Genomic DNA, 20,664 nt, shown 5'->3' on the forward strand with positions numbered 1-20,664 from the left:
AAATAGAGTATTCAGTGTGTAAAAACACACTAAAATACATAGAGACACCTAGATACCATCAAGAAGGTTACAGCATTGGTAAAATGGTAACAGTGATAGAACACATAAAAGACTAGTGGTACCAACTATGTATAGGATCACATGTACCTTCAGAACACAGGTTTACTAAATACACTATTTTGACTCTTTAAGAAGAACAAGGCCAGGCACAGTGGCTCACGCCTGTAATCCCAGCACTTTGGGAGGTGGGCAGATCACGAGGTCAGGAGTTTGAGACCAGCCTGACCAACATGGTGAAGCCCCGTCTCTACTAAAAATACAAAAATTAGCCAGGCATGGTGGTGCGCACCTGTAATCCCAGCTACTCAGGAGGCTAAGGCAAGAGAATTGCTTGAACCTGGGAGGCAGAGGTTGCAGTGAGCCGAGATTGCGCCACTGCACTCCAGCCTGGGTGACAGAGCAAGACTCCGTCTCAAAAAAAAAAAAAGAACAAGTATATTTAGCCTTTACCTCAAATGCTCAGTTGCTGAAAGTCCTTTTAAATAGTTGATATTTGTGATAGCTTCAAATATAAATGGAAAACAAGACCAAGAACTCACTATCTCACTTCTAATTTATCCTGAAGATATACATGTGTGAGTACAAAATGACATGCTTAGGATTATTCATTGTGGCTTTGCCTGTAACAGAAAATGACTAGACACAAATCAAATGGTCTAGTTGAATGATACATATATATAATAGTGCTTGTGCGTAAGAAATTAAAGGAGTTTGCTCTTTTCTCTGCTTCTCTACATGTTAAAATTATTCCTAACAGAAACAATTGTATTAAAAAAAAAAGATTTAGGGGGAAAGATTTCTAATCCACATAGCTCATTGTTTGAGTTCAGTATGCTATACACATAGTAGTATGCAAATGACTCTTATTTTTATCTTCTCTCAATGAGCTACAGTAACTTTCATTCTCACCCTTGTTTGATAAATATATATTGTTACAGATTATTTCATCATACAGTATAGATGGGTAACTACTTCTACTATTCCCTTAAACATCTCAAATTCCATAAAATATTTCTGAAATATTAGGCACAGGAATATTCTATGAATTTTTTCACCAGTTTTCATGTCTTCCACTGTCTGTCCAAATATGATAAATGGTCTATTAGCTGACTTCCATCATAATCATACCACCTTGTTGAACTAACCAACTTCCCTATTCTCTTACAAGAAAATACTGAGTGATGTTTATGGAACTGAACATCAGTGGCTTTAGGCTTTCTGTAATGCCCATCATATTCTCCTTTCAAGAGTCACTATCTATTCCCAAACTTGTTCACATAAATTAAGTATTGTGTAAACTGCTTTCATCCATAGCTGAAAGTATAGCTTTTATCTGTAGATAAAAATCCAGACATACACAGTGTTTAGATTACTTGACAAACTGTCTAGATTCTCACTCTGAAGAAACCAAAACTGGAAACATAAAGTGCAACTTATGGATGTAGTTTAATGCATGAAACAAGATGAAACTCCTATCAGGAAACCCATACCAGCACTCATAGAAAAGGTCTCTGCTCTAAATCCACCCCCGCAGAAATGGTGAATAAATGTACATCAGTATGTTTTAAATTAAGGTAAAATGTTTAGGGTATGGATCTACTGATTTTTTTGTTTTTCACTTTACAAGCTTTGTTTCATCAACCAAACACCATTTTTGTTATGTAGAATAAGAGGCCCTCTGCTCTAAAATACCCTCTTCAAGAACTGCCTCTATAACAAAATTTTTCTAAAATTGTGATATGCAAGAAGCAAAGTTAAATACAGACCTAGCAATATCAAAAACCAGATGAATGTAAATATAAAGACTGTTAAGTTCAACAGAGTTAAAAATCCAAGAAGATATCTGGTTTAAGCTTCTTTCCTAAGTGAAAAAACTTTCACTTAGAAAATGAAGGCCAGATAATTAGGGATGAGGCTTAAACAATGTAAAAGTAAACCTCTATTCATAGGAATATGTTATTTGAGAAGCATTGCATTTAAAAACCATCTGTACATTTAACAATCTTAATAACTGAAGAATATTTAAATGATATGGCTTATTGAAAATCATAGGTGCTGGGCACGGTTGCTCATGCCTATAACCGCAGCACTTTGGGAAGCAGAGGTGGGTGGACTGCTTGAGCTTAGGAGTTTGAGACCAGCCTGGGCAACGTAGTGAAACCAGTCCCTACAAAAAAACACAAAAAAATTAGCCAGGTGTGGTGGCATCCACCTGTAGTCCCAGCTATTCAGGAAGAACACTTGAGTCCAGGAAGCCAAGGCTGCAGTGATCAGAGATCATACCAAGCACTTCAGCCTGGGTGACAGAGCGATCCCGTCTCCAGAAAAAAAAAAAGGGGGGGGGGGGCGGTGGGGGAGGAGAGAAAAAAATCAAAGCTAGCAGCTAGCACAATCATTAAAAACAGTATATTTTGGTGTCTTACACTGATTTATTTTGACCACACAGATCAGAATCTTCCCATCTGAAAGTAAGCTCTAACAAATTTTTAGAAACGTAATTCCAAACAAAATGTTCATTAGTTCAAGACTTTTAAACAATAATGGTGAATAACCCTAAAATAACATTTGACTCCTGACTCATTTCAATTCATCATCAGCTTTTTAACTCCTAGGCTTTACCAATGCAATTCTAATCAAAATTATTATTGTGGGAACTTGCAAAGCCTGGACGAAAATGGCACAAGTATTAAGAAAAATGAAAAAAATTAAAGATTATAAAAGGGACTTGGCTTGCCAGATTAAAAAAAAAAATGATGAAGCAACAGTATAGTACTGACACAGAAAGAAATAAGGAAATATTATCAAACAGAGTAGACTGCATCTAAAAGAGAACCTGGTATGGATACTTTCAGAATATTAATATAATAGAAAGATGGCATAATGAGTTGCCCACATTCTATTAATGGTACTGGAACTAAAAAACAAAGTTTGAGCCTTATCTCTTGACAACCAGAAACTGGCATTTGGGTCAGTCCATAAGTTTTTTTTATTGCCCTACAAAATTCTTTACATGCATCACAATTAAGCAAGGGTTAAATGTGGACAGAATATGGGTAGTTCAGCAATGCCCACCTCTCAGCACACACCACCCATCACCATTTTCATGAGTATGTTACCTATATCACCACTACATGTATAGGATTACTACCATAAAAATCATCCAGTAAGAAGAAAGGAAATAACATCCAATTAAAAGAGTTCCCAAGCACTTTGGGAGGCCGAGGTGGGCGGATCAGGAGGTCAGGAGATTGAGACCATCCTGGCTAACACAGTGAAACCTCGTCTCTACTAAAAATACAAAAAATTAGCCGGTGCATGCTGGCACCTGTAGTCCCAGCTACTCAGGAGAATGAGGCAGGAGAATTGCTTGAACCTGGGAGACGGAGGTTGCAGTGAGCCGAGATCCTGCCACTGCACTTCAGCCTGGGTGACAGAGCAAGACTAGGTCTCAAAAAAAAAAAAAAAAAAGAGTATAAGCAGGCAATCATATGGACACATGGAGGGGAAAAAAATCATACAAACAAAAAACACTGATCAACCCTATCAGTTATCAGAGAAATGTAAATAAAAACATCATTTTTCAATCTGATTTGCAAACATTAAAAAACAAAAACTGATATTATCCAGAATGACACAGATGTAAGGCAACAGGTACTCTCACTCTGAAGAAAAGTGCAATTTACTATAGTTTTGCTGAAGGTTATTTTGTAGTGTATTGCGAAATTTAAAATTTATATATCTCTCCACCCAGTAATTCCATTTTTAAAGTTTAGTCAAATCTAGAACATGGACAAAATATATACATGATATTTACTGCAGAATTGTCTGTATTGATGAAAAACTAGAAGTAAACCCATTAAGAGCATGAAAATATATTACAGTATATCCAAATAAAAGAATACCATATGTAACGGTTAAAAAGAAGACTGAGTTATGCTGTTAAGGACAAAAAGCAAGTACAGGATAAAACGTGTAGTATGATTGCATCTATAATTATTAAAACTATATATAAGTGCACAATGCAAGGTCTGAAAAGATAAACAGCAATTTGGTATCACTGGCACTTTTGGAGGTAGGTTGCTATCCTTGTAAACCCCCTACTAGAATAACTTGAGGATGTGGGAGGAAGGGCCTTTTTCACCCTTACATTACATGACCCTACCACCTTTGCCCTGCTCCTCAGGTATAAGCCTGATCCAAAGTGGACCACATCTTTCTTCTAGAAACTTGAAATTTGAAGTGGCTCAAAGACTGAAAATTGCTGGACTAGGGTTATATCAAAAGCAATGCTTTCTAGAGGCTTTAAAACATTTGCTCTTAAATTCCCTGGAGCTTCTGCCACTTCTTGTTCTATTATACTAAAGTATAATACTAAAGTATTATAGAACATATTATAATACTTTATTATAATATGTTATTATAATATGTTCTATAAAATATAAAATATATATTTATATTATGTATTATATAATATATATGTTCTATAAAATATTATAATACTTTAGTATTACAGAACAAGATCCTTCAACTAAATAATACATTTCTCTTTCTCTGGCTATACTACCTAGCAACAGGTTCTATCTTTTCCAAATTTTAATTTGTATGGTATAAAAGTAGGATAGGATGGGATAAGAAGGTGAAGATAGGAAGAAGGTGAAATACTGCTTTTTATTCAGATGCTTCTACATTGCTTAAGTTTTTTTATAAGCATTCATTCACAAATTATTTTTTATAACTTATGAAAAAGAGTCACTCATTTTTAAAATCAGAGTGGATTTTTTAGAAGTATTTTTCCCAATTTCCATTAATATTTTGAGGGTTATATTTTATAGCCTGGCTATGACTTAATGGCAATTTGCATGATTGCCTTACATTGTGAATTAAATATATTTAACACTAGCTTAATAATAATTTAAAAGTATAGTTCAATGTAATATCAAAAACCTCAGAGCCTAAAATTAATTTACTCAGAATATTTGCTCATATAGATAAATTAAGTCCATGAAATTTTAAAAAGTGAAATACCTCCAACAGTGGCATTTCTTCTGTGATTATGGGATCTAAACGTCGATCAGGGCCATATTTAACAGATGTTTTCTCTTCTTTTGTGTTGTTAAGTCGAGGACCTTGAATTTCTAAATCCTGCTTCCCTCGGACTGACATACTCAAGGAATATTTTCCTGAAATAAAAAACAATCAATGCCCTAAAATAATTTGGTATGTTAACTGACATCAATTTAACTTGAATATGTGAATATTGTAAGTTTCAGATTATTTCTAGAAAAATTCTAGACAATTTTGATTAACATGATTAATCAAAGAATTTAGTATATTTTCATTCCATGTTTAACACCAACTAAGGTATGCTACTTAATTTCTCACTTGGTTTTAGATATACTTTGCAAAAAAAGACTACACATTACTCAATAGGAAGCCCTCTGAAATCTGTATTTAACCATGTGCCTATTAACTAACAAAACCTGAGAGAATAATTATCTTAGGTCCAACAATTTAATTTAGGCCATGAGAACGGTATCTATTCACAAAGAAAAGAAGTGGAAAACAATGAAAAGGTCAACTTTTTACTTTTACTCATATTCAAATATATACACTAATTTGAATTATTTCTGGAATATAAATAACTGAATCTTCTCAAGAGACTGCACAAAGAAAATTAAATACAGTAGAGTTTTCTCAAAATTAAACTTGTTTAATATTCATGTGAAATTTTTCCCAAAAGCTTCCATGTAGTGCATGTATGTGTGAAAAAAGCTAGAGTATACAACTATCTTTCTTGCAGGACTACTTAAAGCCTTTAATGTGCCGAAGGTCACTGTAATAATCTCAAGCCAGATATAAAATGTATTGATTCCCACACTTCATGTGACCCAAATCCTTATTAGCATTTTACATAATAATGAGCTATACTAAATCATGAAAACTCTGCTTAGAAGATAGGATTTTAACAGTTAATTCAGTCTCTTCCCATTAATATTATACAATAACATATAAAGTATTTTTTAATGCATATATTTGGTGCCTTAAATAAAACAACTACCTATATTTTACTGACAACCATAAATTTGTGTACTAGATTAAGATCCTAGTTACATACAAGTGGGAAAAGAAAGGAGATTCAAAAAGCTGTTAATATCCAGTTATCTTGCTTTAAAAATGCAATAAATTAGCATTTTTAAATTATAAATAATTTAAATTATAAATTATATAAATTATAAATAAACTTTGTCTGGTTCTTGTCAACCAAAAAATACAAATACAGTACTAAAATGCAGAATACCTTACTCAATTTTAGTGCAAATTTTTTTCTTTAGTAAAATGTTTTTAGTTTCTATGGATTCATTTCACTTATTTTTCTTAAATGGTGTACTGAATTATCCTAGATACCCAGGGCAAGTATATTTAATTGAAAGTTAAAAGAACCAACAAATTTTCCAAGTGTTCCCACTTTCTCAATGTTAATAATCAGCTTTTGTAAATGCTAAATTCATGTTTGTCAAGGACTATTCAACTTAATTTGTTGTAAAATAAGACATATCTATTAAAATGAGCCAGAAGTAGGAAGTTTCATGGTAAACTCCCTCTCCTAGCATCTTTTCAACTTGAACTCAAATAACTACACACAGTAATTACATGGTAATGTTAAATCTTGAAGGGTTCCCTGAGTTTAAAAAACAAAGAAAACTATGTTAAATGCACATATCGTGTAGTTTTCCTCTTCAAAAATGTGTAGAACATACTGTATAGTGCACCAAGAATATCAGATTAACACTAAAGCCCTACTCTTTCAAGACAGAAGATAGAACTTAAGGTATTTAATATCCAGTGATGTGAAAACATAGGTCTTTAATTTGTTCCATGTTTTATAAAAAGGAAATATTCAAAAAAAAAAGAACATATTAAGATGGTTTTTATATTGGCAGCAGACAATCAATGGTTAGAATTTATTTGGTTAGAATTTACTAAATTTGGATCAGTGACAGAAAAAAATACAGTCTAAAAATTAACAAAAGAAAATATATCAGAAGGGAATCAAGTTGTTTACTTTTGACGCTAGAGATGATGTTAGAAGTTAAAATAATCTAAATTTGTCATTCTTACATCTGGCTAAATGTCTTTACTTAACGATACATTAAACCTATTTAGAAAATACATCATTTTTGTCCATTTTATTCTATGGAGTGATTTAAGAAAGTTTTCTAATTGTTTACCAATGCTATAGCCTTTACCTGTGTGACATCCGGGAAGAGCACCAATGCCATCTACTGTCATAGAGCCCTGAATAGTGCCAAGATTATAAACAACTCCCAGAATATGCAGCTCCCCTATGTGATGGGGAAAGAGCTTTAGTCTTGCCTGTGGAGATATTTAAGTCAGTCTTATTATGTTTTCATAATATCTTAAATAGCACAATACCTAATTCTATAATGTTGCAAAAACATAAACTCATGACCTAAACTTTTAAAATGCCAATTAATTTATGAAAAGCATCTTCTTCAAAAGAAAATGTCTAAATTTAACAATTATAGGCCTAAACCCTCAATAATAACTTTTCATAAAAAGCATATCAAGAAGAAAGCAACAGGCTTCTCAGGAAACTAACAAATCAAAGACCACTGCAAACCACCAATTTCCTCCTGAGCAATTCCTATGTCCTAATCTTCCAAATTTTAGTTCTTAAGAAAACTAGAATATAAAATAAACTGAATAAAGATTATTTAAAAATTTGTTTTCACCTTACTTTCAGAAAGGCATAAAGCAGAGAAATGATAAAATAATTACCACTTTTGATTCTTCGCCATTAATTAAGAACTCTGAAATAACTTCAGCTCCAATCATTTCAGGTTCACTTGTAACCTAAAAAATAAATTTCATAAATTATACATTCCAATGAACAAAGTATCAGATTATTAACACTCCTATATATCAATACTTCAAAAAAATAACACTAATTAAAGTCTGCATTTACTTGGTTTTTACCACATGCTGAGCTCTACACAAAGTGTTTTTATTTCCACAACTAGAGTAGACCCAGGCTGTAGTAGGCACTCAATATATATTTTTTTCATTTTGTTCAGTCCAATTCAACTGAGAAGGATAAGCAATCGATTCAAAGATGCCACTATCCACATGCCTGTAATCCAAGCTACTCAGGAGGCTGAGGCAGGAGAACCGCTTGAACCCGGGAGGTGGAGGTTGCAGTGAGTCAAGATGGCGCCACTGCACTCCAGCCTGGGTGACAGAGCGAGACTCTGTTTCAAAACGGGAGCATATCAAAGATACCGCCACCAAGATAATAAAACCCTGAGAGAAAATACCTAGCTGCTCATAGTCAACAATGGCCAAATGGTCATTTAATTTAATCTTACAATAATAGCAAATTTCTTCTTTTGCTCTGACCAGCCTCTTTTTCAAAATTGGTCAATTACATAGAAAAGATAATGGTGGGCTAAGCATGATAAAGAAAGACAGGTAGACAATAACAGCAGTGGGAGAGAAGGGAAAAAGGCCTGTTTCCCCCAAAGCAATGACATTTCTCTGGTCATGTAGCAAAGCAGAGCTAATTGGCTCATACTGGAGATAAACCTGATCCTCATAAACGCTATTATACTTTCACCATGACATTATTTAGCACAAGAAACAAAAAACTCCCTACATTCCAGTTCAGCATCTTAGTCCATCACCATCTTAGTCCATTTTCTTCATTTCTTAGTCATGAAAAAATCCAGAGTTTGCAATTTATAGAAAAATATTATTTTAAGAAACACTTCATCATACAAATGAAAATATTCACTTAACTTTAAACCTCCTTTAAAATCTCCCATATTGAACAGACTAATATACTTAAAAAGCTAATAAATCTTTTTAAAAAACGTTTCCAAGTTTAACCGCTCATACTGAGTATTCCAGGCACCCAAAAGATTAGAAAAATTGCAGAAGTTGCTAAAATTCAAGTCAGAATACAGCCTGGGAAATCTCATTCAAATTATTAACAATGAATATAAATAATACAAAATATCTTTGACAAATTTAACCAGCAAGACTTATTTATTTATTTATTTATTTTTTATTGTTTGTTTACTTGTTTTGTGGTTTTTTTTGAGACAAGATCTTGCTCTGTCTCCCAGGCTGGAGTACAATGGCATGACCTTGGCTCACTGCAGCCTCAGGTTCCAGGACTCAAGCAATCCTCCCACCTCAGCCTCCCAGGTAGCTGGGACTACAGATGTGTACCACCACATCTGGCTAATTTTTAAATTTTTGTAGAGATGGGGGTCTCACTATGTTGCCTAGGCTAGAGCAAGACTTAAAATAAGGCAATCTTGAAAAAATCAAAACACTTGAGCACCAAAATGCTGGGTTATTTCCCAGTTCCAAAATCCTTTTTTTTTTTTTGCCACATTATTAAAGCATTTAGCAAGGTAGTATAAAAAAAGCAAGTTATATGATAGATACTGGTGACTAAACTAATAAATTAGTAAGTAAATATATCTATTTGTCCAAGTTATTTCATTTACAGTCAGGTGGGTATTAATAAAGAAACTATTTGGCCACATCATTTCTGCTTCAAAATTAAGTATCTTAGATACATAAAGGACTTATTAGACACGGAAATGAAAAGAAAAAAATATAAATGAGGTTTTGAATAGGCAATTCACAAAAGAGGAAAAACAAAGAGTTTCAACTTCACCAGCAATCAATGAAATGGAAAATAAAACAGTTAAGATGGCATTTTAAAAATATCAAATCAACAAAGTTTTTAAGTTAATACTGCTTACTGTCATAAAGATTAGACACCCAAACCCATATGCTGCTTAGTAAGAAGCTCATTGGTATGAACTTTTATGAAACCAGCAGGGCACTACAATACTTTTCCCTAAAATCTTCACTTCATGCCCTGGAATCTTCCCCACAAAAATAATCTAAAGGTAAAAAGCCACACACAAAAAAGTGCACCACAGTATTACCGTGATAGTCAACAAATGGAAACTTGCCAAAAAACTATCAAAGATAGTAAAATAGCTTATGAATCACTCATATGATGGAATATTATGCAAAAATAAAATATTAAGACACTTTGATATCAGAATACGCCTATAAAACAACACAGAATGTAAAAAGCAACATACACAGTATGAAGGAATCCCAAATATGTGGGAAAAACATACAAATGAAAATAACTGGAAGGCCGGGCGCGGTGGCTCATGCCTGTAATCCCAGCACTTCGGGAGGCTGAGGCGGGAGGATCACGAGGTCAGGTCAGGAGTTCGAGATCAGCTTGGACAACATGGTGAAACCCCATCCCTACTAAAAATACAAAAATTAGCTGGGCGTGGTGGGGTAAGCCTGTAATCCCAGCTACTCAGGAGGCTGAGGCAGGAGAATCACTTGAACCTGGGAGGCAGAGGTTGCAGTGAGCCGAGATGGCGCCACTGCACTCCAGCCTGGGCAACAGCGTGAGACTCTGTCTCAAAAAAAAAAAAAATAAAAACAAAATGACTGGAAAGATACACAGCAAAATGTTAAAGTGGTTATTTCTAAATATTATGAAGACAGATGGTTTCACTTCTATTCCTTATGTTTTTATGTATTTTCAATTTTCAAAAATAAGTACATATCATAATTTTTATAACTAAGGAAAAATAAACCAAAAAGAAGTATAGCTCACTGAACAGAGTACATTGAAATGTTACTACAGCATTTGTTAGGCTGTAGCTGAAACATAATTACAAATACCTTTTAATAACTTACTAGTTGTTTAACTTCTTCATTATCCTTTCCACTGAAATCTTTAGGATGAAACTTCCAAAGCAATGACAAATCAGTCAACAAAAGTAGAACTTTCAAAGGGTTTCTAAAAGCCACTTCCACTGTAATTGGTTCTATTAAAAAAAAGGCCTAAATTAATAACTTTAATAAACATCACACCTCATTCTCAGCTTCGATCTTCTAAATGCATCTTGCTTTCATAGCTCTGCATTTCTGCCTAGACTGTCCTTTATTACCTTATAAATGTCCACGTATTCAGGATTCTGTTGTAATACTACATTACCTCCTTGAAAAGATTTCCCCAATTTCTCTGTACTAAAGAATGCCATTCCCTCTTGTATATTCCAACATCACATTGCAAATAGCTGTAGAAGAGTCCCCCTTGTCTGGTTTTATAAATGCAGCTCAGTAAATTATGAGTTCCTAATTTATTTTTGCATCCCCAGCACCAATTATGTGTGCCAAACAATAAATTATCTTCATCATGCTGTAAGTAAAACAAATAAAAAACAGAAATAAAAATTCAAGTATATCACCTTCTACAACTGCAAGTGGAAATCTTGAATTATCTGAGTAACTGTTCAAACAGTATTGTGTGGGATGAAAATTGGATGGAATTACTCCTTTGTTAACCACAGAAACAACTTGTTCCTCAAGTTCTCGCCACTGCTGAGAGGATTCAGAATCATATTCTTGATCAAGACTTACATGAGTAGCTGCTTGTTTTTCACCTAAAAAAAATTTGTTAACAACACGTTTATGAAGACTTGCCCTCAAATAAAACATATTTTAAATAGACATAAGGTACAGAAATAAAAAAATATATATATATACATTCACTCTTGCCTATTTCTAATTCTGAGTGAAAAATATCCTCTCATTAATCCTAGCTTATCTGGATTTTGCTTATAATACTGATGTTCTTTTCCTCCTGACTCTGAAAGAATGTATTTTCCCTCGTGTCCACAAGCAATTTTTATATAAAACATTTCAAATATACAGAAAAGGCATGGAGACTAATATAACAAATATTTGTATACTAAAATTTAACAAATGTCAACTTTCACCTATGATCCCAAATATTTTTAATAAAAAAAAAACATCACAGATAGAGTCGATGTCCTCTCTGCACCACCCCCAATCTTATTACTCTCCTTCGCCCCCACTGGCATCACTTCTTCCCAGAGGTATTCCAAAGTTAAAGTGTATCATTTTCATCCATGATTTTACCACATAAGTATATCTAAAAAATGCATAAAATTAGTTTTTATGTTTGAAACTTATACTGTAATTGACTCTTCACTCAGCATCAAGTTGTGGGAAATGTAGAATTAGCATGAATTCTCATGTACTGCAGCATGAATCCATTATGTGAATATACAAAACCATATCAATTAATCCTCTATTAGGAATTCTATTTCTTTCACTCTTTTGCTACTACAAACAATGCTACTATGAATATGACAATTTAAAAAAAAAATACTAAATCGTATCTCAAGGAGAAACGTTGATTAAATTCAAATATAAGAATGTTTAGAATGACAAAGTTTAACAGCCATCGAGAGCTTTAAAATATATGCATTTATATAAAATATATTTGTATAGATTTAGGGGGTACAAGTTATGTTTTGTTATACAGACATATTTTCTTGGTGGCAAAGTCTGGGCTTTTCGTGTAGCCATCACCCAAATAGTATACATTGTACCCATAAGTAATTTCTCATCCTTCATTCCCTACCCTCCCAAGTCTCAATGTCTATGTGTACACATTATTTAGCTCCAACCCCAGTTATCGATGGGAGCATGTAGTATTTGACTTTCTGTTTCTGAGTTATTTAATGTAAGATAATGAAGAGCTTAATATATTTATACTTTTGTTCCATTATTGCCATTCTAGGGTTCAATCCTAAATAAATCATCCTGCATTTAAAAAAAAGTCTTACAAGAACAGCAGAACATTGGTAACTGTTCTTTACTTCTATGTACATTTGAAAATTTCCATAAGACATTTAAAAAACAAATTTTATCTACAAAGATGTCCATCACAATACGATTTTTTTTTTTTGAGACAGTCTTGCTGGAGCGCAGTGGCGAGATCTCGGCTACTGCAACCTCCGCCTCCTGGGTTCAAGCGATTCTCCTGATTCAGCCTCCCGAGTAGCTGGGACTACAGGCGCATGCCACCACGCCCAGCTAGTTTTTTGTATTTTTAGTAGAGACAGGGTTTCACCATGTTGGCCAGGATGGTCTCAATCTCTTGACCTCATGATCTGCCCGTCTTGGCCTCCCAAAGTGCTGGGATTACAGGTGTGAGCCACCACACCCGGCCACAATATAATTTTATATAAGCAAAAGATGGAAACAGTCTATATATATCAAGTGGATGTTAAAATAAAGTACTTTATAAGCACTGAATAGAATATTTTACTAACATTAAACGTTTATGAAGATTATATAATAACAAAAGCATTCTTTAAGTGAGAAAAGCTGTTGTAATTACAACTGTTTTGTTTTCATTTCATTGTTTTTAGTTTTTAAAGCTGGAAAGAGAAACACCAAAATAGTAGTTATCTTCAGGTGACAGGACAAAAGAAGTAATAGAGAGCTATTCATTTTCCTTTTTTTTTTTTTTTTTTTTTTTTTTTTGAGACAAAGTTTCACTCTGTCGCCCAGGCTGGAGTGCAGTGTCGTGATCTCAGCTCACTGCAACCTCCGCCTCCCGGGTTCACGCCATTCTCCTACCTCAGCCTCTTGAGTTGATGGGACTACAAGCATGTGCCACCACGCCCAGCTAATTTTTTGTATTTTTAGTAGAGATGGGGTTTCACCATGTTAGCCAGGATGGTCTCGATCTCCTGACCTCATGATCTGCCGGCCTCAGCCTCCCAAAGTGCTGGGATTACAGGCATGAGCCAATCGTACCCGGCTGAGCTATTAATTTTCAAATATTCAACTATACATCGTTTTTTAAATGGAGAAAGGAAAAGAAGTTTTTTTTAAATTGTCATTAGGTAATTAGGCTAAATAAAACTTTACTAACCATCCGCTGGTCGTCTGTCATGGCCAAAAAAAACCCGTGTTGCTGAACTGTTAATATACGGTAAAGGAAGCTGTGGCAAAGGACCATCTGGTGACAGCTGACTTACATTCTGAGAGAAATATAAAAGGGAAAAAAAGTAGTTTTTGTGAAAATGGTATTTTTATTTGTTTCCTCGTTTCTTAATACACAAGGCATTAAAAATATGTTAAGCAAGAATATTAAGATATGTAATTACTAGTTTTATTTCTCATATCAGTCATAAAATTTTACAACTCAGAAGCACTTCAGATATTTATTCTGCCTCAAAAGAATCTTACTGAGGTTACTCAGCTAATTACCTGGATGTTAAATATGCAAAACTTATTTTAGTAAGCGTTTTACTTCTTATGACTCATTATAGCATCCTATCTGCCAAAATTCTAACCCATATAATTTCAAATTAATAAAGTCTAGACCCTAAAGGTAGTTATTTTCTGCACGATAGATATAATATGCACTATTCATAGGCCTTGGGAAAAAATTTACAACTTCCCATTTTTTCCATAAAACAATGCTTTATATGTTTATCTGCTTGCCTCAGTGAAACAGTCCTTCTTCCTGTTAATTTTTCTCCATTGCACCATAATAGCCTGTCTACTTTCCACAGATCCATACCCCCTCATCTTTCACAAGGAAAAGAACATAGAATGTCCATCTCCAAAGGATGGTAAAGAGAACCCACTTAAAACCAACTGTAAAATCAGTTGTGAGTCTATAAAAGCATGATGAATAAAGAATCCAGAAAACCTGTGGAATCTTTTTTTTTTTTAAGATTCTAAGAACAGCCACAAATCAAGTGTTCATTGTAATATTAAAATTCTCTTTTCAAGAACTGTGGAAGGGGCAATGTAACCAAGATCTATAGCCAAAAAGCCTAGCCTGCCACAGCTTTTTTATGACTGATAACTACATATATTCTAATAAAACTATCGTAAGATATGGTAATAAATAAATACTTTCACACTAAAATACAGTTTTAATATCTATTCCTGAATGAAAATAAGCAGTCACCTTGTAAACATAAAGATATTCTCTGAGGAAAGCCCCCTGTTGAGCAGCAGATTGTTTACTTTCATTAATTAGAATATGCCTAAAAGCAGACACAGCATTATCCAGCTGTCTAAGAGTATAGGACTGGCGCCCAATAGTGAAATTAATGTGATCCTCTGCAAGAGACCAGCCTTTTCCTTTGTAAACTTGCATGGCTTGACAATAACAGCGTAAAGCATGCTTTTTCTGTAAGAAAATAAACAAAATAATGTATTATACTCCAAATTTGTTTGAACTAGAAAAAACAAATACAAACACACACATAGAAACAATTAAGTAACTGGTTCTTCCTCTAAGGGGGACTGGGATAATGAAGAAAATAAAACTAACATTTATGATAATCCCTTCACAATTATATATGGAATGATATAGATAAAGTTACCTGAGCCATTGTGTGTGTGCGTTAGATAGGAGTAGGGTACCTAAAGGAAGAAAAGGGAGGCCAGACTGCTTTGACATTTACCCACTACTTCTCTGAGCCACAATTTCAAAACGTCAACTTCAGAGGAAAGAGCTTACTTCTCAACTTGACTTTATCTACCTTAAATTCTTTCTGGAAAAAGGCAAGGGATATGTAAACAAACTTCAACATTTAAAATGGTCAGATTTCACTAATATGATGATGAAAAAAATGTTCTCATACTTTAACTAGAAGCATGCTATGTCTACAAAGAGTTTCTCCATATTAAGTAAAACAATAAACACATTTATCAAAGTTTTTTCTTGCCTACGATCAGAGACTTACATTGAATGTATGTGGCCACATATGCCACAGTTTTCCACAGTACAAATAATATATAATAATATATATAGTAGTATATATAATAATATATAAATAAACTTTTTTTTTCTATATTAAAAATTCACATACTGGACCAACCATGCTGATCCCAGCCTGCCTGCCTGCCTGCCTGCCTGCCAGAACTCACTGGCCAGTGTTGTGACCACTGAAAGGTTATGCCTCACACGGTTCAAATAAAGCAGTGGGCTAGGACAGCAGCACAGTAAACACTGCCTGGGCAAGACATGACGGGGTTCTCTGCCAGCATCAGGTGCTACCACAGCCTCCTTTTCAAGGTGCTGTTGGCAAGTGTCAGGGCATACTTCCTGGTATTCAGTGCATTTACTGCAGGACTTAAGAAGAGCAAGAGATTAATAATATACCAGAATGATATACAAGATGTGTGTTCAAAATGGAAAATTGCAAGGAATGCCAAAATCTTACAAGTATTGCAATAAGAATGCAATATTTGTGGCAATAAACATCATCAATGTAAAAAATCAAAAGAGGTACACAGAAAGACAGATCCTGCATGTTCTCACTCATATGTGGGAGCTAAAACAGTGGATTTCATGAAAATAGAGAGTGGACTGGTGGTTACCAAAGGCCAGGGAGAGTGGGTGATAGAGAATGAAGTTGATTAATGGGTACAAATACATGGTTTGATAGAAGAAATAAGACCTAGCGTTAGACAGATCAGCAGGGTGACTATAGTTTACAACCATCTACTCTACATTTCAAAATAGAGAATTTGAATGGTTCTAAGGTGATGGATATCCCAAGTTCACTGACTTGATCTTTATAAATTATATGAATGTATGAAATTATCACGTATTATACCCCAAACTATGTATGTTTATTATGTATCAATTTTTTTAAAAGGAGAGTATTTTCTTCAAGATCGCTTACAGCCGGGAGGGGTGGCTCACGCCTGTAATCCCAGCACTTTGGAAGGCTGAGGCGGGCAGATCATGAGGTCAGGAGATTGAGACCATCCTGGCTATCATGGTGAAACACTGTCTCTACTAAAAATACAAAAAATTAGCCGGGCATGGTGGCGGGCGCCTGAAGTCCCAGCTACTCAGGAGGCTGAGGCAAGAGAATGGCATAAACCTAGGAGGCGGAGCTTACAGTAAGCCAAGATTGTGCCACTGCACTCCAGCCTGGGCTACACTGCGAGACTCCATCTCAAAAAAAAAAAAAAAAAAAAAAAGATCACTTACTAGGGACCTCAGATCCTCAGATGCCAGTTCTCCTCAGAAAGATCAAAGTAACTAATTATCCAAACAGAAAACTGAGAAAAGACAGCCAGGATATGATGAAGAACCCATGGAAAGAAACTAGAGTGCAGGAAAGAAAAACAACAAGAGTTTGGCAGGGATCGAGTGCTGAGGAACACAAAACCCCATGGAAAGGGTAAGTGGGAGTACTTCTCTGCTGCCCTCACCCCTCTGACCATCTGTTCACCATCCAACTGATGGGGAGTCCCTCTGCCCTCATGATGCAGGACAACACTAACAGTGGCAGTTTGAGAACGTCCCAGGGACAAGGATGTGGGTGGCCAGCTCACACAGGCATGCCCGCCCTCCTTTCAGGCCTGAACTGAGACAGGAGATACCACTGCCCTGCCCAGGAAATCTCTGCTCTTGAGTCACCACCGCACCACCAGATCCCTAACATATTCACAACTGCTGTGACATTAGCAAGTTTAGGAGACCAGTGGGTCCCCAGAGAAGGTGTGAGACCCATGGAGATGTAACCGTTAATTTAGGCTGCCCCTAGGGGAAGGGGGGACAGTAGCCTGCCAAAGCCCCACCTTGAGACAAAGGTAATGCAAGCAAGCAACAATCGCTGAAGTGGGCAGCCCCAGCGGCTGGAAATGAACATGAAGAGGGGATCATTTCCCGCCCACCCCATCCACTGTTGTGAACACAGGAGAGGTTCTCCCTGCTGGGAGCTGGCAGACGTGTCCTTGGGGAAAGCACTTTTCATGCTTTTTGTGGTGGCTCCATCACAGCTAAAAGTGAGCCTGGCCGGGCGCGGTGGCTCACACCTGTAATCCCAGCACTTTGGGAGGCCGAGGCAGGCAGATCACAAGGTCAGGAGATCGAGACCATCCTGGCTAACACGGTGAAACCCCGTCTCTACTAAAAATACAAAACATTACCGGGGTGAGGTGGCGGGCGCCTGTAGTCCCACCTACTCGGGAGGCTGAGGCAAGAGAATGGCATGAACCCCGGGGGGCGGAGCCTGCAGTGAGCCAAGATCGCGCCACTGCATTCCAGCCTGGGCAACAGGGAGACTCCGTCTCAAAAAAAAAAAAAAAAAAAAGTGAGCCCATGGCCAGGCACGGTGGCTCACGCCTATAATCCCAGGCACTTTGGGAGGCCAAGGCGGGTGGATCACCTGAGGTTGAGAGTTTGAAACCAGCCTGACCAACATGGTGAAACCCCGTCTCTACTAAAAATACAAAATTAGCCAGGCGTGGTGGCGCGTGCCTGTAATCCCAGCTACTCGGGAGGCTGAGGCAGGAGAATCGCTTGAATCCAGGAGGCAGAGATTGCAGTGAGCCGAGATCGCACCATTGCACTCCAGCCTGGGTAACAAGTGCAAAACTCTGTCTCAAAAAAAAAAAAAAAAAAAGTGACCCCATGCCAACTGGGCTTGCAGGAAGGGCAAGGCCCAATTCCCCCTCCCTACAGAGAAGCATCCGGGCAACAGAAGGTGGACAAGCTGCAAAGCTGTTTACTCTGTACTAGAGGAAGAAGTTCCGCCCTGAGCCCATTTTGGTGGCAGCTGCCCGTTTTGGTGGAAGTGTACTCTGGTCAGAGCCTAATGGACAAAGTCTACATGAACTGATGGTTGTGAGCCCTCTGACCGGGGCGTGATAAGGAAGCTTCTGTCTGCTCAGGATGAGCAACTGGTGCACCCCATCCCAAAAAGGATCAAATAATCTATAAAGTAAATATTATCAGACTAACAACAGACTTCTCAGAAGAAACCTTACCAACAAAAAGAGATTTGGGGCCTGTTTTTACCCTTTTTAATGACAAATAAAAACAAAAACAAAAAAACTACTAGCCAAGAATTTTACAGCCTGCCAAACTAAGCTTCATAATTGAAGGAAAAAATAGTATTTCTCAGACAAGAAAATGCTAAAGAAATTTGTCACCACCCGACCAGCTCTACAAGAAATGCTCAAAGGAGTTCTAAACACGGAAACAAAAGGATGATACCTGCTAACCATAAAGATACACGTAAGTACAAAGTTCAAAGATCCTATAAGGCAGTTATACAATTGGGACTACAAAGCAACTAACAACATTATGACAAATACAAAACCTCACTTATCAATATTAACTTTGAACAAAAATAGCTTAATTGTTCTACTCAAAAGACAAGATCCAAGCATATGCTATCTACAAGAGACCTATCTTCTGTGTAACGAGATCCACAGGCTCAAAGTCAAGGGGTGGAGAAAGATCAATCACGCAAATGGAAAACAAAAAAGAGCAGGGGTTGTTATTCTTGTTATCAAATAAAATGGACTTTAAACCAACAACATAAAAAAAAAGACAAAGAAGGGAATTATATAATGATAAAGAGTTCAATTCAACAAGAAGATTTAACTAGCCTAAACATATACACACTCAATACCAGAGCATCCAAATTTATAAAACAAATACTACTAGACTGAAGACAAGACAAGCAGCCATACAGTAATACTGGGGGACTTCAACACCCCACTGACAACACTAGACAGATCATCGAGGAAGAAAACTAACAAAGAAACTCTGGAATTAAATCGGACTTTTGACCAAATGGACCTAATAGACGTCTACAGAAGATTCCAACTGACAACTACAGGATATACATTTTTCTTATCTGTGCATGGAACATTCTCTGAAGTTGACCATATACTGGGTCACAAAGCAAGTCTCAAAAAATTTTAAAAAGTCAAAATCATATCAAGGATCTTCTCAGACCACAGTGGAATAAAATTAGAAATCAATACCAGGAGGAACGCTCAAAACCATACGAGTACATGGAAACTAAGCAACTTGGTATTGAATGACTTTAGGGTAAACAATGAAATTAAGGCAGAAATTTAAAAAAATTTTGAAACAAATGAACACAGAAACACAACATATCAATACCTCTTGGATACAGCAAAAGCAGTGTTAAGAGGAAAGTTTACAGCACTAAATGCTTATATCAAAAAGACAGATCTCAAATTAATAATGTCACATCTAGAGGAAACAGAAACAAGAACAAACCAAGCCCAAGCTGGCAAAAGAAAAGAAATAAAGATCAGAGCAGATCTTTATTCTTTAAATGAAATTGAGACCAAAGAAATCATACAAAGAATCAACAAAATAAAGTTATTTGAAAACACAAACAAAATTGATGAGACTACTAGGCAAGATTAAGCAAGAAAAAGAAGAGATGATTTTAATAAGCACAATCAGATATGACAAAGGTGACATCACAACTGATACCACAGAAATACAAAAGGTCCTCAGAGAATACTATGAACCTCTATGCACACAAACTAGAAAACCTAGAGGAAATGGGTTAATTCCCAGAATCATACAATCTCCCAAGACTGAACAAGGAAGAAACTCAAATCTTGAATAGGTCATTAAGTAGTTACAAAATTCCATCAGTAATTAAAAAAAAAAATAAATAAACAACCAAATGAAGCCCAAGATAGCTGGATTCAAAGCCAAATTCTACCATATGCACAAAGAAGAGCTGGTACCAATTTTACTGAAACTATTGAAAAAAAAAATATATATATATATATATATATATATATATATTTTTTTTTTTTTAAGGAAGAAAGATTCCTCCTTAACTAATATCATCCTGATATCAAAATCTGGCAAGGACATACACACAAAAA

The 20,664-nt window shown here is 35.7% G+C and overlaps 1 protein-coding gene across 12 annotated transcripts in view, besides 1 other annotated feature; it reads right to left on the minus strand.

Moving 5' to 3' along the window:
- Positions 1–20,664, minus strand: part of TRAPPC8 (trafficking protein particle complex subunit 8) — a 113,932-nt gene that overhangs the window by 30,345 nt on the left and 62,923 nt on the right. For 11 of the 12 annotated variants that reach the window (XM_017025616.3, NM_014939.5, XM_005258234.4 and 8 more), the window contains 7 exons: positions 14,939–15,163; positions 13,889–13,997; positions 11,385–11,579; positions 10,831–10,961; positions 7,861–7,935; positions 7,308–7,434; positions 5,086–5,240 (listed from right to left, as the gene is read on the minus strand). In XM_017025616.3, the coding sequence (XP_016881105.1) occupies positions 5,086–5,240; positions 7,308–7,434; positions 7,861–7,935; positions 10,831–10,961; positions 11,385–11,579; positions 13,889–13,997; positions 14,939–15,163 (1,017 nt within the window). Of the gene's footprint in view, positions 1–5,085; positions 5,241–7,307; positions 7,435–7,856; positions 7,936–10,815; positions 10,962–11,384; positions 11,580–13,888; positions 13,998–14,938; positions 15,164–20,664 lie in introns of those variants that run through there. The other variant, XM_047437357.1, reaches the window with a different exon arrangement.
- Positions 1,351–1,551: a silencer, noted in NCBI's record as "peak3103 fragment used in MPRA reporter construct". NCBI's record gives its function as "represses an SCP1 promoter by STARR-seq MPRAs in K562 erythroleukemia cells {active_cell/tissue: K562}" and the evidence as "EXISTENCE:reporter gene assay evidence [ECO:0000049][PMID:32103011]".

Source organism: Homo sapiens, chromosome 18 (genome assembly GCF_000001405.40).
Source record: "Homo sapiens chromosome 18, GRCh38.p14 Primary Assembly".
Taxonomy (NCBI): Eukaryota; Metazoa; Chordata; class Mammalia; order Primates; family Hominidae; genus Homo; species Homo sapiens.